The sequence below is a fragment of the Homo sapiens genome, chromosome 10 (assembly GCF_000001405.40).
Source record: "Homo sapiens chromosome 10, GRCh38.p14 Primary Assembly".
NCBI classification, from domain to species: domain Eukaryota; kingdom Metazoa; phylum Chordata; class Mammalia; order Primates; family Hominidae; genus Homo; species Homo sapiens.
The window spans coordinates 70,401,490-70,428,989 of record NC_000010.11 but is presented as its reverse complement, the minus strand read 5'-3'; the positions used below and the strand labels follow the sequence as shown (position 1 = coordinate 70,428,989).

Genomic DNA, 27,500 nt, shown 5'->3' with positions numbered 1-27,500 from the left:
TGGGCATCTAACCAGTGCTCCCAGGGGCACAGGCAGCCCCTCTTCTGAGAAAGGAAAAGTTGTTTGGGCTTCCTCAGGGCTGGCACTTAAGAGAAGGACATGCTTGGGTGCCGTCAGCCCAGCATATACATGTTCACCTGCAAGCTCCTGAGCACAGGACCAGGGTCATGCTCCCTGAGAGTCCCACCATCTCCTTTGCATACACAGGTCCACATTGACAAAGTGCATGCTCCGCAAGTGTGGAGAACTGACAGATAAAGAGCCAACTGCCTCTTACCTCTGCCCATCTCCCCCACCAGCTGAAACTCCTGAAATGTGAAATAACCTTAGCAGGATTTCACCAGAAATTTTTAAAAAATTAAAACACCAAGTTGATACTCAAGATCTTTACTGATTTAACTATAACAGCAACCATTGATGAGAATTTAATTTTTTCCTTAATTTCCAAACATCTGCTGGTTTGGAAGAATAGTTAAAATACAAAAACAACTGATCATGGAATCACACAGGACTGCCTCAAGGACTGCGTGGTACCCTCTGCTATCCATCCACACACAGTGAAATGGATGGGAGGGATGAGGGAACAACACATCATGGGAGACAAAGGGAAGACCAAGGAAAGTGCTGGCAGTCTCCGCTTTTCCATTCAGAATGGATGGAACTGGGCCGTTAGTGGCACTAAGACAGGGCAGGGCTATTTTTTTTTTTAAATAAAATATTTTAAAGATGCATAAAATGGACACCTTAGCACGTGAGTGTCCTCTGGGCTCTTCAAGACACCTTCTTTAAGGTTTACCCCTGGAGTAGCAGAGGGTCTCCTCACCCAGGTGGAAAGAGATGGGCTCCATCTGCAGATGAAGGAAAGGCACTGGCGCACAGCACTCAGCAATGTAGATACAGGCACCAGGTAGGAGCAGGATGGCTTACCCAGCAACCTGCCTCTTAGCTCCCTGCTAGTGTTCTTCCCTCCTCCCCAGTTTCCAGTTAAAAGTACCCTTGGCCTGGGCTTTAAAAAAAAAAAAAAAAAAAAGATTAAGCTGGAGAGAAAGGGGATACACTTGGGCAAGAATGGATATTTTGTGCTAGATTCATGGAATTTTCTAAGTGTCCAGGAGTTTTGGTTTTAAGCACCGGCAAGAGCTCCCTTTGGAAATTTCAGTGTGGCCAAATGATTATCAAGCATTGCAGCATCTCTGCCAGCCTCCCACCCTTAGAAAGGTGGCAGAGTGAGAGTTTAAATACCCTTGGAAATGTGTTTCATCTCAGTAATATTTCCACTGGGTATCCATGACATACAGTATGGTCTGCCAGGGCTGCAGGCAGAGAGCCATAAGCAAAGAGAATCCACAGACCCGCTGAACAGGGACTCAAGCCTTCTCCTAAATCTAAGCTTTGCCAAAAGGTTATCAACTTCCAGGACCAGCCTAGAGAAATAAATTTAAATTCCAGAGAGTAGGCTAGGTGATGTAAGTGACTGACTGAAAAAACAAGTATCAATAACTCTTAAAGTTTTCAGTTAGAAATTTCTGTAAGTTAGCCTCAAGAAACTCCACTACTAAACTGGAAAACCATGACTAGGAACAGGAAGCGGCCCTGGGGTAGAAGCATTCTAAAGAATTGTGACCCAACTGCATCAATATCTGATTTCATCTTTTATTAAAAGCTGAGAGTTAAAGAACTGTAGGGATAACTAAGTCCACCTCAAAGTCCAGACAGAAACTGCCCTCCCAAAGAAACAATGTTTCTTTAAAACAAATACCACACCTTCCCAGATATTATGGGTAGGTAAGTGACTAGGTTTTGCAGATTAATCTATAGCTGCCCATGTGCATGTAGTCCAGAAAACATGCCAAGAAGGAAGAGCTCTGAACCAGACACAGAAAGGCAGTGTGGCTTCCTCGCTCAAGGGGAATGCAAAGGGCTAAGAGCCCTGGCTTCAAGCAGCTGTTATCCTAGATGAGGAAAATGCAAACAGATTCAATCTCTGGGATATTGCTGCCAACATGCTAAGCCCTTCACCAGTTGCCTTGATTCGAAGCAGTTCCTCTATGTATACTGGCTAAATGATGGACTCCGGCAGTGAAACCCACATACTCAGCAGGCTGCATTCTAATGAGAATGAAGGAATTTAACTAATGGTGTTTGAGCTGGAAAGGTAAGGTCTGAGAGTCCCAGTGAGCTGGAAACCCAAAAAAAGAGAAGACCAATCCACCTCAAAATAAGAAAGAAAAACAAAATTCATTTAAAGGTACTCTAAAGATGAGTTCTTTACTTCTGGAAGAAGAATCCTTTTCTTATAGCTCCCTCAACAGCAATACTTCTTATCCAAGTATACTCTCAAGCAAGCAGGGCTACAGATAAGAAAATGCTGGGAAGAGGCAGAGCATAAATCCAAACAAGAATTTGCATCTTTGGCCAGGCGCGGTGGCTCGCGCCTGTAATCCCAGCACTTTGGGAGGCTGAGGTGGGCGGATCACTTGAGGCCAGGAGTTCGAGACCAGCCTGGCAAACATGATGAAACCCCATCTCTACTAAAAATATAGAAATAAAAATTAGCCAGGCATAGTGGTACATGCCTGTAATCCCAGCTACTCGGAAGGCTGAGGCAGGAGAAACACTTGAACCTGGGAAGCAGAGGCTGCAGTGAGCTGAGATCGCACCACTGCACTCCAGCACCCCAGCCTGGGCGACAGGGCGCAACTCTTGTCTCAGAAAAAAAGAAAGAAAGAAAGAAAGAAAAAGATATTGCATCTTTAAGGTCATCTGAAATCTCTAAAGACTTGGTTAGGAATGAGTGCCAGAAACACATAGCAGCCATTCACTAGAATGTCTTAAACTGAAAAACTTCATGTAAGTTTGTCTTTAGCATGAACACAAGACCAGTTATTTAAGAACACATTGCCATCAAGAAGCCCAGGAAGAAATGGGCATGCAGGGTTAACCTATGCACTGGATTTAGAGGAGCAATCAAGCATAGACATTTGTAATTCTCAGATGTTCTCTATTTTATTGAGTGGTTGCTTCCTGGGTGAGAGACCTGACCTGAGTCTGTTGAGACTGGAGAGACCAGGTACCAAGCACCGACTCTGGTGGGAACCTGGCTTCCTGATAACATCATCTATTTCACCTAAATGTGAACTGCTTTCTTTTCTTCAGCTCAATAGCTTAACATCTAATTCATGTTTGCTCCCTTTGCTGGACAATCCCCATTCCAAATAAGACAGGTTTAGTGGCTCGGCTGGAAGGCCCCAGTTCCTTTTGCTAACTCCTAGCTACAGGAAAATAAAAGTGGTAACTGAGTCTTACAGACACCAAGTCTAGGATGTGCAAATAAGCATACTTGAGCTGTTGGTAGTCAGGCATATTATTTTCTACTACTCCTGGGAATTGCCATGTCTTACCACCCCTCTCAAAACCAGCAGGTAGCTTTGGGGAGTTTGCCTTCTATCCCAGTTTGGCTATGCACATCTTGGAGAACTGTTTTTGATAGCAATCTATCTTTCAGCTTATCTAGATTAAACCTACCTCCCTGTTGACCTACTTTCATCCCCAGTTGGGGTGTGGTGCTTTTAAGATATGTCCATAAATTCTTTGCTACTGCTCCATTGGGGTAGAGGTATGTGTAATTCCTCTCTCCTTGAGTGCAGGCTGAACTTAGTGGCTTGCTTCTAACAACTAGGATAAGAAGTGACGGTGTGTCCTTTCCAAGACTATGTCTTAAAAGGCACTGCAGCTTTCTCCTGGCCCTGCCCCATGATCTCTGGAATCAGCTGCTCAGGGAGAAGCCAGGTGTCATGGTGTGAGGACACTCATGCTGCCCTACGCAGAGACCCACATGGGAAGAAACTGAGGCATCCTGCCAACGGCCACAAAGAGAGAACTTGGAAGTGGTTTCTCCAGCTCCAGCTGACTGCAGCCCCTGTTCAATCTTGACTGTAACTTCATGATACCATGGGCCAGAACCATCATGTTAAACTACTCCCAAATTCTTAACCCACAGAAACTGACAGATAATGTTTACTATTTTAACATACTAAATTTAGGGTAATTTTTTACACAGCAATAGATAACTAATACAGGTGGAAGGACAAAACTCTTGGCTTGGAAGCCCAATACCTAGAAAGCCAGCTTCTCTGTATCTGTGCCCTTGAAAATGCTGTACCTATTTAAACAGAATATGAGAACTGCTGAACTCAATAAACCACACTAAAAAGAAGACAGAATCATGACAATGCATGTCTGCTGTTGGAATTTGAAGGGAAGTCACTTCTCATTAAGCTCGATTGTCCGCCCAAGTATAGAAGCATGGGTTCCTCATAAAAAGAAAACTACAAATGGTCACTAAGATGTTAAGAGCTGTCTCAAAGTGGTAACTTAAGAGTGCTCCTTCTCTCTAAAAAACCCCGGACACATTATTCATTAAGGGTTTCATCTGTGAGGTTCCCTCCAAACATGCAGAGGTAAACCACTCAATGGACTCTGGCTTGTTCTAAAAATAATTCCATGAGGCATGACACAAAGGTATCATCTATTGAAAGTTTATCTCATGCCTTGTGAAATTATTTTTTAAATGCCAATTTATCTCCATAAGATAAAAGAAAGACTGTCTAGTAGTGGTGGCCTCTGGGAAAGAACTGCACCAAGCTGTAAGGAAGTCCTTGCAGAGAAGGGTAAGGGATTGAACAGCTGCTGCATTATACAGCTGACACTCCCAAGAAATACTAAAAACATGCCTTCTGATTAGGGGGTCACATGCAGAAGCTCCCCAAGACAGCAAGAAAAAGGAAAATGGCATCTTGATACTACTAAAGCTCATGCTTTAAATCCATTCCTCACCGTTCAGTGAGGAAGCCAAGTTTTCACACATAGCAATAAAGATCAAGAAGAGTTCACTCTTCTGCTCACTGACAGACTGACTAGCTGCTAGTTGGGTCAAATTCCACAGGATGCCAAGGCCAGTGTATGAAGAATGAAAAGCTTCATTCCCAAAGAATCAGGCTCCCCGGGGTACAAAGAGGTCCTGAGCATGCTTCTTATGTAAATTACAGAGCAACTTAGGTTTTTCCAAGAATATGTAAAATGAGACTTGGAGTTTAATTAAAAACAGAACAGGGATACATTAAACAAACAAACAAAAATTACTTTTCTGATTATCAATTTTTTTTGAGACTCAAAGCATCCCCAAAACATTGGAGATCCAGCTTATTCCTGAGACATCAACCATCACAAAAGGTTTTCACTCTGAACTATTCACATTTTTGTGGCAGAAAACAGAACAAAGTTCTGCAGACATCCTTCCTCTCTTTCTAAAATATATTCACAAACAGGGTCTTTTCATAGTTCAAAAGAAAAACAAACAGGTTTCTTTCTTGGCCAAATGGCCTGTTACTCTCACCCTGGGATCTGATTTCTTAATAAAAAAGTTCAGGGCACCAAATCCAACCAGAAATTCCCAGGACACCAGTGGCTACTTAACTATGAGGGGATGGATGCTTTTGTCTTTCTATGAGGGGAATCATTCTCCCGGGATTATTATGCTGCTCAACAGCCCCAGGACAGGTAGGTGGGAAGGAGGGTGAATGCAAAAGCGAAAGGGTCACAGAAAAGAATGAGGCTTTCTTGAACAACCCATAGCAAGGCAGAATGGTCCAGTTTTACAAACCACCCACTACAAACTCCAAACATGCACACCCAAAACTAGAGGGGAAAGGAAAGAGCTCCTGGGGGACTAGGGGAGACAAAAGATGGTGACATAGAACAGCAGACTTGCCTATGAACGTTTCTCAACTTCCTAACACTGGAAGATGTTTAATTAAAAAGTTGCTGTTCAAAATTGTACTGAAAACATATCTAAAAATAGGTCTGTAGTCATCTTAAAAATAAAAGGTCACTTCTCAGATAAGAGGAGTGACAGATATTCTCAGATACCAACACTTCAGGTATCTTTGATGTAAATTTGAAAAATGGCCTGGTAGAGAAAAAGGAAGGAAAGGAAGGAGAGAGGAAGAAAGTGAGGGAGGTAGGGAGAGAAATTCAGAGTACAACAGGAAAGGCAAGAAAACTGGGAGGAACACATTTTTTAAGCCCATGCTTATCTATCCCAGCAGCCAAACAAAGCAGATCCACAAAGGAAAAAAATGCAGTTCTTTTCTAAGAACATTCTGAAAATCAACTTCAAACTCAAAACATAAGAAACTGCAATCTAAGAACAACTACCACAATGCTCACTGGACTTAAAAATGACGACTGAGACCGGGTACTCAAATGGGTCAACGTTCTTCAGCGGTCATTCTTAGGCATTATCTGACAGAATACTATGATCAGGCCTTACCCACCAAGTGGAAGCTAAAGTGCCTCTATTACTTGGTATGGACCTGCTCTAGGAGCAGACAAAATCACTTTGCTTTCTTGAAGTACAAGAGGACTCTGCCAGCAACGAGATGCAAGCAGGGAGGAGTGGCAGAAGAAGAGCAAAACTGGTTACCAAGGGCTCTCTTCTGATGTACAGAGTTAAAAATATCTGCACAAATGCACTAAGTAAAAGAATGGGAAGATGAACTATAATACCAAAGACAGAAGACATTCCTCCCAGAGGAAAGAAAGGAAGTGGACCTCAAAACAGTGTCACAGGGTAACGCTACCAGAGTTGCACAAGCTGTGCTCTGTCCCGAGGGACGAATACCTCAAGGTAAAAGGGAAAGCAGCTCTCTTTTTATCATTTCCCCCTGCTGGTTTTAAAGACCCCAAGCCCAGACTCTTGCAACACTGAACCATAGGTGGGATACAGGGAGGAGAGACAGAGGGTAAGGAATATGAATGGTGTTAGGCCCACCAAGCTCTGTATCCCTTCCCCAGACTTCCCAGCCAGGCAGTTGTTGGTAGGTTGATATTTGATTTGGGACAAAATTACAGGGTATGAGGGTGGCTCTCAATAAAAAAACAACTAGGAAAGTCAGAGTTGAACTGTTTTCCTCTAAGGGCTGCTTAGCTCTACAGAAATACAGCAAGGGCCTTCAATCTAACCTGTTTAACTGGGAAGGGGAACAGGAGACAGGGAGAAGAAATGGTCAGATGAAGCTCATCTTCCCATCATTTGGCACCCAGAGGAAGACGGGGAGGTGGAGACTGTAATGGGGACTGCTGGTATTGCCTCTTCTGTCTTTTCACTGTTGATCCTATTGGCCAAATCAGGTGCACACAAGTATCAGTGTTGCTGCTTTTCTTCTAATCCTTGCAGGAGAGTCAGATGTCCATCTCGAACTGAGCATCATCCCCTAGTTAGGACCAATAAAATGAAGAGTTTAGCACGTACACAAAGAAGCATAACAGTTTTAACTGTCATTCCCTCTAAATGAGAGACAAAAAGTAATTCAAATTGTCCCACTCTCTGCTGCCTTAAAACAATTACTCTGCTTTGCTTTGGCTGGTCTTAATCTGAAAAATAAGAATGGCAGTCCCATCACCCATGGGGAGAAGTTTTGGGGAAAAGGACACAAGTGAAAACATCCCCATTGTCCCTTTGTCTTCAGGATGACTAAACAGCAGCTCTTGGGGAGCTCTTTGCCATCTCTCAGGGGAGCACATTCTTCTGGAGGCTTTGGACTTTGGCCCTGCTCCAAACTAACACTTTGTCCATTAAAAAACTCATCTGAAATATGACAAAGCGGAATGCTGGCCCCCATCTAGGGGTCACCAAGTGCAGTCCCTGAGGAATATTTCAGGAGCTGGCCACTCCTACCGCACCATTCTGCTTCTACAGTGATAAAGAAAAAAAGAATGTGTTGGAGGAGGGGTAATTTAGGTAAACCTTAAACGCAGTTCTGGAAAATAGAGGAAATAAACCATACCGCTTTTCCTCACACCATATAAAAGAAACTCATATAAGAAACAAGGTCGGCCAGGCGCAGTGGCTCACACCTGTAATCTCAGCACTTTGGGAGGCTGAGGCGGGCGGATCACGAGGTCAGGAGATCGAGACCATCCTGGCTAACATGGTGAAACCCCGTCTCTACTAAAAAATACAAAAAATTAGCCGGGCGTGGTGGCAGGCGCCTGTAGCCCCAGCTACTTGGGAGGCTGAGGCAGGAGAATGGCGTGAACCCGGGAACCAGAGCTTGCAGTGAGCCGAGATCGTGCCACTGCACTCCAGCCTGGGCAACAGAGCAAGACTCCGTCTCAAAAAACAAAACAAAACAAAAGAAACAAGGTCTATTTGCCTGAGGGTGATGGAAATGGGGGCTATGAAATTGTTTTGTTTTCTGTGTGTGTTATCCTTAGTCCAATGAAGCCTAGGCCAGGAAGTCCTTAAGGCATGGTTCAAAGAGTCATTTTTGGGGTTTATCATCCTGATTCTGGATTCTTTTCTCCCACCAACTACATCAGATTTATGATTTAGAATTCAGGGTTTTCAGAGTATTTCAAGAAACCTTTGGGGGAGGAGGGAAACCTTAGAGACATATAACTGAACATTAGTTATTAACTGAAGAATTGGCCAGGCACAGTGGCTCACACCTGTAATCCTAGCACTTTGGGAGGCTGAGGCAGGTGGATCACCTGAGGTCAGGAGTTCAAGAACAGCCTAAGCAACATGGCGAAACCCCGTCTCTACTAAAAAATACAAAAATTTGCCAGGCGTGGTGGCAGGCGCCTGTAATCCCCGCTACTCGGGAGGCTGAGGCAGGAGAAACGCTTGAACCCAGGAGGCGGAGGTTGCAGTGTGCTGAGATTGTGCCACTGCACTCCAGCCTCAGTGACAGAATGAGACTGTGTCTCAAAAAAAACAAAAAACAAAAAACAAAACTGAAGAATCAATAGCTTCTCAACCTACAGCAAACAGACATTCAAATTCCAAGAGCCACGCTCTAGGTCTCCAACATCGCCATTCTCTTACCAACTGCATGTTTCCTGTCGTGATTGTTCAAGTTGTTCAAATTGTTTACTTCTACTTTGGAGTCTTCAATTAAGGTGCCAGGGCTAGTGACTCCTGGGATATTGGGCAGGTGGCAGGGTGGGGTCTGAGCCATGGGAGAATTGCGACGATCCAACAGAAACTTTCTGTCATAAATGATTCGAGTTCCTGGAAAACAGGGTTAAAAAGAGTTTGAAACAATTTAAGGGGTTATCAACATATAATACCACCCAGGAATTTAATTTAAATCCCATGTAATCCTAACTTTTAAGGATTTTACAATTCAAGTTGAAAGCATAATCTCTAACCTCTCTGCCTGTAAACAGGCTCTTCTGCCATCTGGAATGCCCTTTCTCTTCTGCCAGGGACACTCCTGTTGATCCTTCAAGACTCAGCTCCAACCATCACTTCCTTTATGAAGCCACCCCCACCCCTCACTTTTTTAAAAGGTTCTTCCTCTCCATCTTACACACATCATGTATTACAGGACTCCTGTTTATCCATCTGTCTCTCTTTATAGACTCTGAGTTTCTTATGTCAGGGCTATGTCTTATTTATATGTGACCTAGGCCCTAACATTAACATCTTTAAGAAAAAAAAAGTTTTAAATGAAAGAATAAACAAGTATGAGAAAAAATAAACAGCCCCTTTTAAAGGCTTTCCAAAGAAGGACTGAGACTAACATTCTTCTCACAGCTATAGTCAAAGCTGAAACTGGCAGCCCCTCTCTATTCTACAAAACAATCTGCTTACCAGTTAAGTGCTACCTGAATGTTTTAAAAACAATAGTTTTGAAGAGTACACTTTAACTGATAAACAGTTATGGAAACGTGCTGCTTACAAATGGTCAACAGGTACATTAAAAGGTGCTCGACATCACTAATCATCAAGGAAATGCAAATCAAAACGACAATGAGATATCACTTCACATCTCTTAGGATGGCTATTATCAAAAAGACAAGAGAGCCTGGGCATGGTGGCTCATGCCTGTAATTCCAACAGTTTGGGAGTCCAAGGCAGGAGGACTGCTTGAGCCCAGGAGTCTGAGTCTAGTCTGGGCCACATAGTGAGACCCTGTCTCTAAAAAAATTATTTTAAAAAGAGCCAAGTGAGGTGCTGTTGGTCTGAAGTCCCTACTACTCGGGGGTTGAGCCAGGAGAATAGCTTGAGTCCAGGAGTTCGAGGCTACAGTGAGCTATGACTGCACCACTGCACTCCAGCCTGGGCAACAGAGCAAGATCCTGCCTCAAAATGTAAATCAAATATAATTTTAGGACAAGGAAAGTAGAAACTTACCTTCAACCTCTTTGCTTTGAAAAACAAAAACTAGAGTAGCACTCAAAAAGGCATCTAGAAATTATGAGGAACGAGGCATTCTGGGTAGCACAAAACTTAGTTCAACTTTCAAAGGGTAAACAATTTCAATTATCTTGAATGAAAATACTTCTAATACAGATTTAAATCCCTTTATGGCCTTCAACAGAAAATGATTCAACCCTCTTGATGAATCACAGTATTATGAAAATTGTTTATTATACTATGTTGTGACCTAAGAAGTCTCTAAGCCCTATCAAGTTGGTGCTCTGTACAGCTGAACATCACTATACAGAGTTCGGATGGTCAAAGTTGTGCTGGTGCACCCCTCCCCCACAGTGCCCTTGTCCCCTTAGACTAAGAGCTACCTTTTTTCCAGGCTACTACTATGACTCAGTCAGCTTAGGCTGCCATAACAAAATACCACAGACTGCACAACTTAAACAACAGAAATTGTCTCATAGTTCTGGAGGCTAGAAGTCCAACACTAAGATGCCAGCATGGATGGTTTCTGGTGAGGGCTCTCTTCCTGGCTTGTAGGTAGCTGCCTTCTCTTTGTGTCCCTTACATGGGGGTAAGGGGGCCTCAACTCTGTGGTGTTCCATCTTATAAGGGCACAAATCCCATCATGAGGGTCCCACCTTTATGACCTCAACTCAGCCTAATTAACTCCCAAAGGCACCACCTCCTAATACTATCATGTTGGGAATTAAGGTTTCAACATAAGAATTTTGGGGAGACACAATTCAATCTGTATAGCACACCCTTAACACCCTTTCTAACTTGGTGTTTCTAGTCTGGTGGGTTTGGAAATCAGCAACTTGCTTATTAGCATGCTATGTAAAATAAGGGCAAATAGGCTGAAAGGGGGTCTGATGGCCTTCCAATGAACAAAGGGAAGGAGCTTTAACAATGGACTTTGCCTATCTGTTTGAGTTACCCCACTTTTGTTCATGATGAGATTTCAGAAGGGTGAGGTTTCACTGTCAGATGAGTCAACTTGCAAACTGGAACAAGATTATTCTTACTTCTGTAGTACATCAAGCTTGGAAATTGTGGAGATGAGGTGGTGAAAAAAGCACAGCACAGAAGCAAGCTTTCTAAATTATGTATCAGCAACAACGCATACATTAAAGAATTGCAATTAAACCAACTAGGATATAGGTAGTGGAGATTCTGCCTAAATGTGTGAGGTATAAGAGAAACTCTGAAGAACCTCTATGACCTTAAAGAGCTGATAAGATACGGTATTTTACAAGTTTATTGAAATAGCATTCATTTACAATTGATCCACTTACAGTGTATAATTCAATAGTTTTAGTTGATTCGCAGGACTGTACAATCATCACCATAATCAATTTTAGAACCCTTTCATTACCCCCATAACCTCCCCCAACCCCTTAGATGCCACCTGATCTCCCCACACCCTCTGACCCTAGGCAACCACTAATCTACTTTCTGTCTCTATATAGTTTTACCTACTCTGGCCATTTCATATAAATGGAATCATACAATACAGTCTTTTGTGACTGCTTCTTTCACTTTCATAATGTCTTCAAAGTTCATTTATGTTGTAGCATTTATCAGTACCTCATTTCTTTTTCATTACCAAATATTTCATTGTATGTATATATCGCACCTTATCAATTTATCAGTTGATGGACTGGTAAGTCGATAAAAACAAGTCCATCAACTGATAAATGGGTTGTTTCCACTTTTTGTCTATTATGAATAACATTCACGTACAAGTTTTCATGTGAACACATTTCCATTCTCTTGGGTATATACCAAACTAAAAAAGTGGAATTAGCCAGGCATGGCTCACACCTGTAATCCCAGCACTTTGGGAGGCCAACGTGTATTACTTGACCTCACAAGTTCAAGACCAGCCTGGGCAACATGGCAAAATCCCGTCTCTTAAAAAAAAATACAAAAATTAGCCAGGCGTGGTGTTGCATGCCTATAGTCCCAGCTGCTGGGGAGGCTGAGGTGGGAGGATCACTTAAGCCCAGGAGATGGAGGTTACAGTGAGCCATGATTGCACCACTGCACTCAGCTTAGATGACAGAGTGAGACCCTGTCTCAAAAAAAAAAAAAAAAAATTAAAAAATTAAGGTAGAACTACTGGGTCATATGGTAACTCTACCTTTAACCCTTTGAAAAATTGCCTGGTTTTTTTTTTTTTTTTTTGAGACAGAGTCTCGCTATGTCACCAGGCTGGAGTACAGCTGCATGATCTTGGCTCACTGCAACCTCCGCCTCCTGGGTTCAAGCGATTCTCCTGCCTCAGCCTCCCAAGTACCTGGGACTACAGGTGCATGCTACCATGCCCGGCTAATTTTTGTATTTCTAGTAGAGACAGGGTTTCACCATGTCGGCTAGGATGGTCTCGATCTCTTGACCTCGTGATCTGCCCAGCTCGGCCTCCCAAAGTGTTAGGATTACAGGCGTGAGCCACCGCGCCCGGCCAGAACTGCCTGTTTTTCAAAGTGGTTGTACTATTTTACATTCCCATCAGCAGTGTGTAAGAGTTCTAATTTTTATATATTGTAGCCAACATTAGCAGATATGAAGTGGTTTCTCACTGTGGTTTGATCTTAATTTGCATTTCCCTGATGGCTAATTATGTTGAACATGCTGTTTTCATGTACTTAACAGGCCATTCCACCACATATCTTCTTTTGAAGAAACTGTCTATTCAGAACCTTTACCCATTTTTCAATGATTTGTCTTTATTACTAAATTATGATAGTTCTTTATTCTGGATATAAATCTCTTATGTGACTGCAAATATAGTCTCCTATTCTGTGGGTTATCTTTTCATTTTCTTCATGATCTTCGAAGCACAAAAGTTCTTAATTTTCATGATGTCCAATGTATGTTTTTTTTTTTTTCTTTTGTTTGTGCTTTTGGAGTCATATCTCAGGCCACTGCCTAATCCAAGGTCATAAAGATTTGCCTCTGTCTTCTTCTAAAGGTTGTACATTAATAGCTTTTGCTCTGACATTTAGGTCTTTGAGCCATCTGGTCCACCTTCAGTTTTTCTGTGTGCATATCCAGTTGTATCAGCACTATCTGTTGAAAACTGTTCTTTTTCCACAGAATTGTCTTGGCACCCTTGTTGAAGATCAATGGGCCATTATTGCTGGGTTTATTTCTGGACTCTCAATTTTATTCCATTGATCTATATGTATATCCATATGCTAGTACCCCACTGTCTTGACTTGTAATAAGTTTTGAAACCACAAAGTGTAAGTCCTCCAACTTAGTTTTTCTTTTTCAAGATTGTTCTGGATATTTTAGGTCCCTTAAAGTTCCATATGAATTTTGTCAGCTTGTCAAAGAAGCCAGCTGAGATTATGATAGGGACTGTGCTGAATGTGAAGGTCAATTTGTGGAGTACTACCATCTTAACAATATTAAGTCTTCTGATCCATGGCCACCAAATGTCTTTCCACTTATTTGGGTCTTCTTTAATTTCTTTCAACAATGTTTTGTAGTTTCCAGAGTAAAAGTTTTATGCTTTGTGACTAAAGTTATTCCTATCAAATTGTTTTCATGCTATTGTAAATGGGATTGCTTTCTTTTTCTTTTCTTTTTTTTTTTTTTCGAGAGAGGGTCTTGCTCTGTCGTCCAAGCTAGAGGGCAGAAGTGCAATCTTGGCTCACTGCAACCTACACCTCCTGGGCTCAAGCGGTCCTCCTGCCTCAGCCTCCCTAGCAGTTGGGACTACAGGCACATGTCACCCAGAAAAAAATAATTTTTGTATTTTTTGTAGAGACGGGGTTTCACCATGTTGCCCAGGCTGGTCTTGAACTCCTGGGCTCAAGCCATCTGCCCACCTCAGCCTTCCAAAATGATGGGATAACAAGCGTGACCAGTTTTCTTTGTTTTTGCTTTTGAGATGGATTTTCCCTCTGCTGCCCAGGCGGGAGTGCAGGGTGTGATCTCAGCTCACTGCAACCTCCACCCTCTGGGTTCAAGTGATTCTTCTGCCTCAGCCTCCCAAATAGCTGGGATTACAGGTATGCGCTACCATGCCCAGCTAATTTTTGTATTTTTAGTAGAGATGGGGTTTCACCATGTTGGCCAGGCTGGTCTCGAACTCCTGACCTCAAGTGATCTGCAAGCCTTGGCCTCCCAAAGTGCTAGGATTACAGGCATGAGCCACTGTGCTGGGCCAAAAACAGGTTTTTCTATATGGCTCTTTTATCTTGCAACCTTGGCAAACTCACCTATTATTTCTAATAGTTTTTTTAATGCATTCCTAAGATATGTTTGATTTTGAATGCCAACACAGTAAATAATTCAGACAACAAGACACACTGAAGAACTAGCGTCTTAATGCTGTAATGTTCTCAAATATAGCCAGGAAAAATATGACTATGAAAGTATAGTATTTATAAGTTTTTGAATTTTAGTAATCTCTGCAAGCTAAAAAAAATTTAATTGTAGTGGGTATAAAGCAAAAATACAGAATCAGCTTGTTAATCACTAATGATTTTAGGGTGTAATTCAAAAGAAACTGACCTTTTAAAAAACCAAAATTATTCAAAGAAAAAAAATTAAGATTCAACCATGGATAAAATGGCAGGAAAAAACCCTTTATTTCCTTTATTGAATATTATGTTTACTATAAACTTACATCAATTCCAAGACAATCTATTAAAAAATCTAAAATATTTAAGGTTTCTTATACATATGCATGCACAGATGTACATTTTCTGAAGCAAGGACTTCCTAGCAATTCACATTTCACCCAGACTCCCTCCAACGCTATGTCAGCTCAATTTAATGTCAACCAATGCAGCCATAAGTAACTAGAAACAAGTTAACCTTAAGCTACTGAAGAAGGAAAACAGACTACACAAGAAATCCATAGCTCATATAACACAGTATTAAAATGGGGCATGATTGTGATCAATTGATGGAGTGTTACAAAAATTAAAAAACAATTTTCCATTCCTTCTCTATGAAAATAATCATGCTCCTTAGTCTTATATTGGAAAGTTATGAAAAAAAATCACAATATTGTATATGCTGTTTGATTTTCAACGTTTATAATCAAACTATAGTAAAAGCATAGAAGAATTAACAGTTAAGGAACAGTACGTAAATGTTACAAACTCTGATTTCTTTTTTTTTTTTTTTTTTTTTTGAGAGTCAGGGTCTTGCTCTATCACCCAGGCTTGAGTGCAGTGGCATGATCACGGCTTACTGCAACCTTGACCTCCTGGGCTCAGGTGATCCTCCCACCTTAGCCTCCCAAGTAGCTGGGACTACAGTCCAACTAATTTTATATTTTGTAGAGATGGGGTCTCATTACGTTGCCCTGACTGGTCTCAAACTCCTGGGCTCAAGCGATTCTCCTGCCTTGGCCTCACAAAGTGTTGGGATTATAGGTGTACGCCACCAAGCCTGCCCACAAACCCTGATATTATAAACATAATGAGGTTACATACCAGCAAAGTAAAGGCAGGAGGACAGGTGAATGGTGTACTTTTATACAGTGGAGAGCTAAAGTTGACAGGTTGAGACACATATTATTTAGAGCTTTAAAGATAACTACTAGAGGAGCCAAAAATGATAATACAATTTACAGAAATTAGTAAATGGAGAGAGGATGAGAAACAAGAGACAGAAAGTAATAAAAGTATCTTAGATTCCTCATCTTTCATAATGGGGAGTTAACAGTATTGTCTAATGTTAAAGAAATCACAGTATACATATATTATTTACAGCAACAATGGTAGCCAGCAAAAGCACTGTAAACAGAAACTGCTGAAAGTGGCTGTCTACTGGCATTTTACCCTCTTTTACATTGTTGAAGTTTCATTTTTCTGCTTTGTTTCAAAATGTACATATTTTTCTTAGTCTTCATGTTTGGATTTCAGAATAGGAAGCTTTAGATCTAGGTTAACATTAGCTATTTATAAATTTTTCATCCCTTAGTGACCAGATATTAGGATAAATCTAATACTTTCATCCAGGACTTTCTAGATTTAACATTACTAGGGAAATATGAGAGTAAAACTGAGTCCCTTTGACAGAGAGGGGGGAAAAACCCTATCTACCTTTGAATCTAAAAACCAGTGATTCTCAAACTGCAGAAAACAACAAGAAGGTCAATGAATAAAGCCCAAAGTTATGCTTGCCAAGATGGCTAGTATAGAAACAAGGTCATTCAAGCGTAACGGCCTCTTTCAATACCAAGTACCTTAGTTTAAATGATAAATAATCCATGCATTAAGCTATATAGTTAAGAAATTATGTAAGCTGAAATTAAACCACACAGAGAAAGTCCACTATAACATGGTTAACTTACAGGGTAGTTGTTAACTATATTTTTACAGGGAGCCCCCACCCCCACCCCCCGGCCGCCATCATAAAATTCTGTTTAACTAAGTCTGCTTCCAGAATTAGAATTAACCATTTACTCACGCAAATAGACAGCCTGGAGAACGAAACATTAAGTAACTTGCCCACAAGCCCTCCAAAAAGGCTGAGATGGACCCACACCCTCATAAAATAGAGTTCCAAGCAGGAAAGGAGAACATGAAGTCAAACAGGGCTTTCCTCCTGGGACTTTCTCCGTTGGAGGGGAAAATCTCAGAAGCCATCAGCAGACTTCCTTTACATCTCATTTGTCCAGAACTGGTTCAGATGCCCACCAGACCAAACACTGGGGAAACTATGACTGACTTAAGAGCTGTCACAGTCTATATCCTGGGGTTTAGCACCTTGCCATTTAAAAAATGAGGGAATCTGGCAGCAAGCAAGAAGAGGGAATAGCTATTGAGCAGGAAACCAACAATGTCAGCCACATCTGCATTCAATATTTACCAAAATTTAGTAAAGATTACATACATATTAGTTTGACCAAAAAGGGTAAAAAAAAGTTAAATTAAGAGGATAGGAGACAGAAGTATATACATTGGGAGAAGGGTGTATATAACAACTAAATCCTCATCTTCCATAGCAGAAAATGAATTAATATCCCAAACTAAGAAATAGGCTGGGCATAGGGGCTCACACCTATAATCACAGCACTTTGGGAGGCTGAGGCAAGAGGGTCATCTGAGCCCAGGAGTTTAAGACCAGCTTGGGAAACATGGTGAGAAATCATCTTTACAAAAATTTTAAAAATTAGCCGTGCTTGGTGGCACTCCTATGATCCCAGGAGGCTGAGCCCAGGAGGTCAAGGCTGCAGTGCACATTAGCTAAATGAGTTTAAAATGGTTTCTCTGAGAGTGGAAATGGAGATGAAGGAACGGGGCATCGGAATGTTGCTTTTTGTTGTGTGGCCAGTAAGACTATATGACTTTTACAACTTTGTTGCTTTCATAGGTATTAAAAAAATGTAATAATAATAAAAAAAAAAAGCAAAATGGCAAGAAAAAAAGCATGAACACTGATGAATGTTCATTTACGAAAGGACAATTACTACGTGGTTCCATTTAACTGAGATTCCTAGAGTAGTCAAATTCATGAAGACACAAAGTAGGATGATTAGCTGCCGGAGGCTGCGGTGGTACTGCTTAATGGGAAGTTATTGTTTAATTGGTATGAGGTTTCAGTTTAGGAAGATGAAAAACGTTCTGAAGATGGATGGTGGTGATGGTTGCAAAACAAGGTGAATATATTTAATCCCACTGAGCTGTACAATTAAAAATGACTAAAATGGAAATTTTTGTTATGTATGTTTAAAACATCAAGAGATAGTGTATTAAAAAACCATTATAAGGAACTAAGAAAAAAGATGCTTACAAAATATCTTATAAATACATACATACAAACCAACACTGCTAGGGCAGCAGGGACCACGAGGAGGAAGGTATCCTTCAAGCCTAGACATTGAATTAAAAAAAGAAACAAAGCATTTGGCATGTAACTTCAATTTCTACTAGGAATTCTTGACAATTCTCCAGCTATGTCTCACATAAGGGCCCACCAAAAGATGAGAAACAGATACAAGATGAACAAGCAGCAAGTGCTTCTAATGCACTCAGAAAAGAAGTCTAAGCCTGTCTTTCTCTCTCCCACCCCCATAAGGGAAAATAAGAAAGGAAAAAACAGAAAGGACTTAACAAAGAAAGTGTTTTCTCTGCTTTTTATTCTTTCAACTTAGGAAGGTAGAACAAGGTCTATGTTTTATTGACTGAGTTATAGAACATTCATGAATGAACTTCAGTTTTAAACATCTGTTCTTCATGGAGACTCTGGATGAAGAGACAGACTCCTGAAAAGCTCTATGGCAAATAACCCAGAGGAAACTAAAAGCTGCCTAACTCTGTATTCTTCAGGGAGACAGGTGGTGGCCAAACCACATTCACTGTGCACAACCATCAAATCTCTGAAGTGCTAATAAACCAACAAAGACAATTTTTATCTTAACAAAAGAAACAGGGCTGGGCATGGTGGTTCAATCCCAGCACTCTGGGAGGCCGAGGTGGGCGGATCACTTGAGGTCAGGAGTTCGAGACCAGCCTGGCCAACATGGTAAAACCCCATCTCTACTAAAAATACAAAAATCAGCCACGCGTGGTGGTGGGCGCCCGTAATCCCAGCTACTCAGGAGGCTGAGGCAGGAGAATCACTTGAACCCAGGAGGCGGAGGTTGCGGTGAGCCAAGATGGCGCCATTGCACTCCAGCCTGGGCAACAAGAGTGAAACTCTGTCTCAAAGAAAGAAAGAAAAAAAAAAGCAGCTCCCTTCACCCCCAATACTCTTTATTTTGGTATAGTTCACTTTCACTCCCAGTGGATTATTTTCCCTTCTTCCTGCTTTCTCCTTTTTTCCAAACCCATCCAATGACCTTTATGAAATTCTGTCCCAATGAACCAATCATATCAACTATCCAAGAGGCAGAAGAGCTACAACCCAGACAAAATTTCAGACCATCACAGTTAGTTCCCCTCTGCTGCCCTTGTTATGGTAACAGCATACTTTTCCATGGCTGATGAGAACTCTGTGAAGGAAAAGAAAGGCAAAGAGAAAGGGTAAAAGAGGTGTCTCTGTTTCTGCTCATTCCGCAGAGCAAAACAACTCTTCTAAAAGGGGGCAGTTCAGCACCTAGAAAGGAAATAAGGTAGCGGAAAGAATCATATTAGCTAGCATTCCAGAGGTAGAAAAGTCTCTTTAAATGTTTGCAAACTTCCTTTCCTAGTAAGATAAGCATCTCAAAACAGTAGAGGAAAAAACTGGAATAGTGATCAGGATACTAAATTTGAGGGACTCACGGACAATAATTAGCTGTTTAATACTAACAAGTTACTTAACTTCTCTGGGTCCCAATTTCTCTCAATAATAAAATGAAAGCATTAGGTTTCTTCTAGGTCACTAGTGTTATTAAAAGTGGAGCCAACTATAGTAACTTTACCTTCCTTTGAGGGCAGAGGTAGCTTCTCAATGGAAGAACCAAATATCATCCCCACTCCTCCACAGGCAGATAGAAAAAAAAATAAAATCCAAGAGCTTTTTTTTTGGCCTGGAATTTGCCCAACAAAAAGTTTCCTCTTCCTTCATAAGGAGAAAGGGTACTCTTCCAGCAATATGAGAAATCCAAGAGGTTACAGCAAGTGTGTTTTCACCCACTTCTCACTTCCCAAACCACAGAAAGACAATTTTGAGAAAGCTCAAGGGTAAGCTGTATCTCCTGTGATCCCCAATGAATAAAGAACTCTTCAAGGGGGAGAAACTCTAAGTTTGCTATGCTGTGAATGTCCCTGCTCAGTCTGATCATTTAGGGCATTCGGTCCATCAACTGTTGTTATGCTGGAATGCTCTGACATGTATGTGACCCTCCAGAAGATTTCTAGAAGTTTGAGGCAGGAAATGTTAATCCCCTCCCTTACCACTAAATAGAGATTTCCAATACAAGCCTATCACTCATTTTTCTAAATGTTTTCAAGTCTGAAATATATGTTAGCACTTGACTCTACTCTTTCAGAACTAAAAATCTTATCTGTCTGCCCCTACCCCCAAATCAAGAATTTAAACCTGTTCAGACCAAGGACTGTATTTCCTACTTTTGTCTGTTGTCCCCTTTTGTGCGAACCACTCCCCTGGGCACACAAAATTTACTAACGATACCTAACCATATTAATCCAGGAGTCTGGAGGTGGCCAGATAACAAACTATTGCACCCTGGTTGAGGGAAATAAAATTACATGATGAGAGGAAGATGAATGTAGCATTAGAGATACACAAACCGTCAGAGGGGGAAGTTAAATCAGTAAGTAAAGAACACCTAAACAGTATTCATTGCTGTAATAGTGATTAAATCCAACTGCAACGGCACCATGTCCTTATAAAGATATTAAATAAGCCCTCATGTTAAAAATCCACTGATTACAGCCAGGCGCAGTGGCTGACGCCTGTACTCCCAGCACTTTGGGAGGCCGAGGCGGGCAGATCACGAGGTCAGAAGATTAAGACCATCCTGGCTAAGCCGCCCCGTCCGGGAGGTGAGGGGCGCCTCTGCCCGGCCGCCCCTACTGGGAAGTGAGGAGACCCTGTGCCCGGCCAGCCGCCCCGTCCAGGAAGGAGGTGGGGGGGTCAGCCCCCCGCCCGGCCAGCCGCCCCGTCCGGGAGGGAGGTGGGGGGGGTCAGCCCCCCGCCTGGCCAGCCGCCCCGTCCGGGAGGTGAGGGGCGCTCTGCCCGGCCGCCCCTACTGGGAAGTGAGGAGCCCTCTGCCCGGCCAGCCGCCCCGTCCAGGAAGGAGGTGGGGGGGTCAGCCCCCCGCCCGGCCAGCCGCCCCGTCCGGGAGGGAGGTGGGGGGGTCAGCCCCCCGCCCGGCCAGCCGCCCCGTCCAGGAGGTGAGGGGCGCCTCTGCCCGGCCGCTCCTACTGGGAAGTGAGGAGCCCCTCTGCCCGGCCAGCCGCCCCATCCGGGAGGGAGGTGGGGGGTCAGCCCCCCGCCCGGCCAGCCGCCCCATCTGGGAGGTGAGGGGTGCCTCTGCCCGGCCGCCCCTACTGGGAAGTGAGGAGCCCCTCTGCCCGGCCAGCCGCCCCGTCTGGGAGGGAGGTGGGGGGGGGGTCAGCCCCCCGCCCGGGAGGTGAGCGGCGCCTCTGCCCGGCCGCTCCTACTGGGAAGTGAGGAGCCCCTCTGCCCGGCCACCACCCCATCTGGGAGGTGTACTCAACAGCTCATTGAGAACGGGCCATGATGACAACGGCGGTTTTGTGGAATAGAAAGGGGGGAAAGGTGGGGAAAAGATTGAGAAATCGGATGGTTGCCGTGTCTGTGTAGAAAGAGGTGGACATGGGAGACTTTTCATTTTGTTCTGTACTAAGAAAAATTCTTCTGCCTTGGGATCCTGTTGATCTGTGACCTTACCCCCAACCCTGTGCTCTCTGAAACATGTGCTGTGTCCACTCAGGGTTGAATGGATTAAGGGTGGTGCAAGATGTGCTTTGTTAAACAGATGCTTGAAGGCAGCGTGCTCGTTAAGAGTCATCACCACTCCCTAATCTCAAGTACCCATGGACACAAACACTGCGGAAGGCCACAGGGTCCTCTGCCTAGGAAAACCAGAGACCTTTGTTCACTTGTTTATCTGCTGACCTTCCCTCCACTATTGTCCTGTGACCCTGCCAAATCCCCCTCTGCGAGAAACACCCAAGAATGATCAACAACAACAAAAAAAAAAAGACCATCCTGGCTAACATGGTGAAACCCTATCTCTACTAAAAATACAAAAAATTAGCTGGGCGTGGTGGTGGACGCCTGTAGCCCCAGCTACTCGGGAGGCTGAGGCAGGAGAATGGCGTGAACCCAGGAGGCAGAGCTTGCAGTGAGCCGAGATCGCGCCACTGCACTCCAGCCTAGGCTACAGAGCGAAACTCCGTCTCCAAAAATAAATAAATAAATAAACAAATAAATCCAAAGATTATGATGGGCTCTCCCAATAAATACAAGCTCAACAGTAAAGAAGAGCCAAGATCACAAGTATTTAAATCCAAAACAAGAAACTGTGTGTAGAAACAATGTCGGGGGAAGTTAAGTGATATTTGAGAAAACAGTGATTGAGTGTTGTTAGGAGGAGGGGTAATGAATTAGTATTTCTGGCAGACTCTTTGCAAGCACTTTAAGAACTAATCCAGGCTATGAGACAGGCTTCTATCTTTGAAGCAACGCTTAAAGACTATGCCCTTATTTTTAAAAGTATGGTAGCTTGACTATTTGACATAAGCCAAAAACGTGTCTAGGTGGCTCTTCCCTCAGGGGATTAATATATAGCTGAAAGTTTAGTTCCCTTTCCAAATACATTATAGCTGAGTGCAGTTGTCACTATGACGTGTTCTGAACTTCTGGAAGCACAGGCATTTACTGAGCAATACCACAAAGAATTCTGGAAGAAGTTATAAATCCCTTTCCATCACCTCGGAAAACAGCATCTATTTCTTAAAAGCTATCAGTTCAAGTTCAAGACAACTCTTATATGGAGCAGATTCTGGTCTGCCAAAATTTTTCAGGATTAAAAAGCAAGATCTTGGCCGGGTGCAGTGGCTCACGCCTGTAATCCCAGCACTTTGGGAGGCTGACGGGGCGAATAACTTGAGCCCAGGACGAGCCTGGGCAACATGGAGAAACCCAGACTCTACCAAAATACAAAAAAATTAGCCAGGCGTGGTGGCACGTGCCTGTGGTCCAGCTACTCAGGAGGCTGAGGTGGGAGGATCGCTTGAGCCCAGGAAGTAGAGAGTGCAGTGAGCCGAGGTCGTGCCACTGTACTCCAGCCTGGGCGACAGAGTGAGACCCTGTACCATGCTCAAACACGAGTTGGTCTTGAACTGATCATATCGGGGGGAGATTTCTTCCATGAGTTAAGCCACCTAAGAACTCCACTATTCTGCAAAGTTAACATTTCCTTAAACCCAGCTCTCCATATATATTACTGAACTTCTGCCTGGGTCATTTAAAAAGCCTTTCAAGGCAGCCCGCCCAGCCCCCAGAGCGGCCTGGCTGAATTTCTCTGTAAAGCTCCCTCCTAGATTTTATCCCTTGGTGTTGGCAAGAAGGTCTCCTTACTCCACAGGCCTTGCTATTGTGCAACTGATTTAAGGATGGTCCAGGCCTAACTGCATCGGATTGGTTGTAGTACAGCTCCTGAGCCCTGCCCACAGGAACAAGGCTAGCAATCCTCTAGACCGCAGGAGCTGCGAAGTCCCCACCCTCTAGCAAGAGGCCACCCCAGCACCAAAAGAAGACAAAGTTCTGAAGTTAAAAAGGAGGCCCCGTTCCCTTCAATAAGGCTCCTCAAAATCGCTTTCCAGGCTCCTCCCTCTGGAGGACAGCCCAGTTAGGGCACAGACAACCTTTGAGCTCTCTTCCCGTGACCAAGCTTCACCTCTACCCCAGTATTACTTATTTGTAAACAGTTCCTGGTCATGCTTTGAAAAGCAATGCCAGGGAACCACCCTCTCTCTGGATTGCCTCTCTCTAGCCCCTTCCACAGGATCAAGCAACCACCCCACCCAACTGGGGTGTCCTTGACAAAGGTCCTTCAATCCATTTCCAAAGGCGTCGCTGCCGAAAGACACCCTACCTTAAGGCTGTCAGCACCCTACCACCCCCACCTACTTTCCCTTGGCTATTACTTGAGCTTTATTTTATCACGCTCTCCTCCCGGCCTGGGGACTCCCCTCACCCGTGGGGCCTCGTCCAGCAAAGTAAACAATGCTGTCAAAGCGGGATAACGCTGGGCGAGGCTTCCAGACTCCGCATTCCAGCCTCCTCCCGGTGTTCTAAAAGCAGCAAAAACAAGCCATCGCAGGATGCCAGGGCCGAATTCCTCTCCCAAAGTTCTTTTTTAAAAAGCCCCGGAGCCAGCTCCAAAATCAAGCATTAATTTGCACAATCTACGACAGGCAATGCAGACTGTAATGCAAGGCCAAGTGGAGCCAAATCCGCCCGGGAAGGAGGCAGAGAGGAGAGAGAGAACTGGGTCGAATGCGTAAGCCTGCCACGAAGCGGAAACAAGAGCTCTTTTTCGCGACAGGACAGCCACATTCCCGAGTGGGGCGCGCGCCGACTCGAGCTGCGGGCAAGAGCGAACACGAAGTAAAGGGTCCCGAACGCTCGGGCGGGCCCAAGGGCAGCGTCCCCGGGGCTTCGGTGGAGCTGGGGGCGGGGGCGAAGCGGCCGGGCACCGAGGCGCCGAGGAGTTAGAGGACCGCGGCGGGACACCGGGCGCGGCGGACGGCTGGCCGGCGCTCACCTCCCGGTGTGGTGGAGAAGAGCGTCCCCCCGGGCGTGGTGCAATAGTCATGAGGTAGCTGCGCGGCGTCGCTGATGGCCACGGTGCGGGTGGGGATGGCGCGGCTCTGGCTGGGCTGGTGGCCGCTGCCGGCTGACGAGGACATGGCTGTGGGCGCGGGCTCTCGGCTTTGTCCGGCGGGCAGGCGGCGGCGGCGGGGCCGGGGCTGCTTCGGCTCCTCAGGCGGACGGAAAAGCGCGCTCTGCGCGCTCCTCGCTCGCTTCCTCCCGTTCCCTCGTCCCGCTCCGCTCCCGCCGCCGCCCTCTCAGCCGCCGCCGCCGCCGCCGCTCGATCCTCCGGCCTCAGCCAGCAGCCTCAGGAGCAACAGCAGCGGCAGCAGCGGCGACGACGACGACCGGAAGCGGGCGAAGGCGGGAGCCAGAGGGAGTTGGGGAAGCTGGTCGGCCGGAGGTGACGTCGCCGCGGGGCGGGGCGAGGCAGTGAGGGGCGTGGCTGAAGTTGTTGAAGGGGGCGGGGACGAGGGGCAGGGCTGAGGAAGAGAGTGGCTTAACCCCAGCGAGCGGGAGAAGAGCCAGAGGGAGCGCGAGCTAAGTGTTTGTGAGCCTGGTGAAGGCGGACAAGGAAAACTTTCTTCTTATTGTTTGTCATTGTCGGTTAACACCACTTTACTTGAGCAGACTTGAGTTTCTCATGCATTCCTATGCATTAAAAATGTAATTTTACTTTTAATTGTTCATTATTAATTCAGGCACTACATGCACGATGTACTGTATTTTAAAAATCAAACAGAGCAGAAAGGTTTATGGTGCCACTTTCTCCCAGTTTCCGAACTCCCCTCAACCGCTGTACCAGTTAATTGTGTATCCTTCCAAAGACCATCACTATATACACACATAAAGCAAGATCTAAACATTAGGAAAAGGAAGAAACCAAGAGCCACTCATGGCAACAAGAATGAGTATTATTGTATTAGAGTTAAAATGAGGCACAGGAGAGGGCTTAGACCATGAGGTACCTGAAAAATCTAGATCTGGAACTCTATTCTTTCCTCGAGGGGTTCTCAAACTTTGGGTCTCAGTACCTCTACATTCTTGAAAATTATTGAGGATTTCCAAGAGCTTTTGTTTGTGTGGATTATATGTATTGATAATTATTGTATTAGAAATTAAAACTGAGCCGCTGCTGATCACTAGTGGGATTGTACCTGTGAATAGCCACTGCATTCCGGCCTGGGCAACAGAGTGAGGCCCTGTCTCTAAAAAACAACAACAACAACAACAACAAAAAACAAATTAAAACTGAGAATGTTTTAAATGTTTATTAATTCATAAAATAATAACCTATTACATGTTGACATTATATTTTTTAATTATCTAAAACAAATAGTGAGAACAGTGGCATTATTTTATATTTTTGCAAACGCTTTAATATCTGGCTTAATAGAAAACAGCTGTATTCTCATATCTGTTTCTGTGTTCAAGCTGTTGTAATGTGTTGATTCAACTATATGAAGAAAACCCAGCCTCACACAGGTATGTAGTTAGAAAAGAAGGTTGTCTCAGATCCCCGAGGGGCTCTCCAGATCACACTTTGAGAACCGCTGCACTAGGGCAGCACTACTTCTGCCCACAACATGCCCAAGGTGGGACTGGGAAGACACTCATGGGTAAGGCCAACATAGCTACCATCATTCCCATTTTGCAAATGAGAGAAATAAGGGTAAGAGAGGTTGAGGGGAAAACAGCTATTGCTTCACTGCTCAGAGGGTCAAACAGGTGCTTGGCAAGAACATAGACAAAAGAACTTACAACAGCCCAGGGCAGGCCAGGGCATTACATGGTACTGATTTTGTGGTGAGTGCCCCAAGAATCCAGAAAAAAAAGTCCCCTGCCTGTCCTGCCATCTGGAAGCTGCCAGAGTTGCAGAGGGCTGAGTTTAACCTTGAAAGACTCTGAGACTTTGGACATGCCAACAGAGACACTTCTAGTGGAAGGAAAGGGGAAGATACTAGTTTACATTTGTGTAGAGCTTACAGTGTGTGGTTGATAAAGTGCATCAGTCCAGTAGGGGCACAGTAACTCACACCTATAATCTCAGCAATTTGGGAAGCTCAGGTAAGAGGATGGCATGAAGCCAGGAGTTCAAGACCAGCCTGGATAAAAAAGCGAGACCCTCCTCTCACATTTCTACAAAAATAAAAATAAATAAAAAATTATCCAGACATGGTGGTGTGCACCTATAGTCCCAACCTACTCAGGAGGCTAAGGCAGGAGGATCTCTTTAGCCCAGGAGTTCAAGGCTATAGTGAGCTACGATTGTGCCACTGCACTCCAGCCTAAAAAGACCCTGTCTCTAAAAAAGTTAGTTAATTAATTAAAAAATAAAGTGCATCACTCTTTGAACTGTCTTTATTTACAAATTTTGGGGGTGTTCTGGGGACAGTGAGGTGGGTCCCTTCTGGCCAGAGCAAAGGGTAAAGATGGCACAAAAAAGTTAAGCTGGGCGCAGTGGCACACGCCTGTAATCCCAGCACTTTGGGAGGCCGAGGTAGGCAGATCACCTGAGGTCAGGAGTTCGAGACCAGCCTAGCCAACATGGTGAAACCCCATCTCTACAAAAATACAAAAAAAAAAAAAAAGTTAGCCGGACGCGGTCGCGCATGCCTGTAGTCCCAGCTACTTGGGAGACTGAGGCTGGAGAATCGCTTGAACCCTTGAGACAGAGGTTGCAGTGAGCCGAGATCATGCCACTGCACTGCAGCCTGGGCAACAGAGCAAGACTCCATCTCAAAAAAAGAAAAAAAGACACAGAGGATAGGACTAAAGATGGGATGAAATGAAATAAAGGAACCAAAGTACAATTTGAAAGTTTTGGGGACAGGTGCTTTTTATTTATTTTGCCAGGCAGCCTGGGGGAAGTGAACAGAGCACAGGTTTCGGAACATACAGACTGGGTTTGAGTCCCAGCTCTGCCGTTTACAAGCTGTGTGACCCCAGACAAGTTACCTATGCTCTCTGAGCCTCATCTGTAATGTGGCAATAACCATGTTACCTCATC

General features: G+C 44.1%; 1 protein-coding gene across 1 annotated transcript, besides 2 other annotated features; it reads right to left on the bottom strand.

Moving 5' to 3' along the window:
* Positions 1–371: 371 nt before the first annotated feature.
* On the bottom strand, positions 372–24,845 carry EIF4EBP2 (eukaryotic translation initiation factor 4E binding protein 2). Its single transcript, NM_004096.5, has 3 exons — positions 24,444–24,845; positions 8,891–9,076; positions 372–7,274 (listed from the first exon to the last, which is right to left on the bottom strand). Exons 1-3 carry the CDS (start codon positions 24,586–24,588, stop codon positions 7,243–7,245), a joined length of 363 nt encoding a protein of 120 aa, NP_004087.1. The 5' UTR covers positions 24,589–24,845; the 3' UTR covers positions 372–7,242.
* Positions 24,544–24,753: a silencer, noted in NCBI's record as "silent region_2447". NCBI's record gives its function as "represses an Ori minimal core promoter by ATAC-STARR-seq in GM12878 lymphoblastoid cells {active_cell/tissue: GM12878}" and the evidence as "EXISTENCE:reporter gene assay evidence [ECO:0000049][PMID:35858748]".
* Positions 24,784–24,973: a silencer, noted in NCBI's record as "silent region_2446". NCBI's record gives its function as "represses an Ori minimal core promoter by ATAC-STARR-seq in GM12878 lymphoblastoid cells {active_cell/tissue: GM12878}" and the evidence as "EXISTENCE:reporter gene assay evidence [ECO:0000049][PMID:35858748]".

Coding starts and splice junctions, on each gene's coding strand:
- EIF4EBP2 (NM_004096.5), bottom strand. CDS start 24,588: ATGTCCTCGTCAGCCGGCAGCGGCCACCAGCCCAGCCAGAGCCGCGCC. Junction 9,077..24,443: donor CTTCTCCACCACACCGGGAG/GTGAGCGCCGGC, acceptor CCTGTTTTCCAG/GAACTCGAATCATTTATGAC. Junction 7,275..8,890: donor CGACAGGAAACATGCAGTTG/GTAAGAGAATGG, acceptor GGTCCTAACTAG/GGGATGATGCTCAGTTCGAG.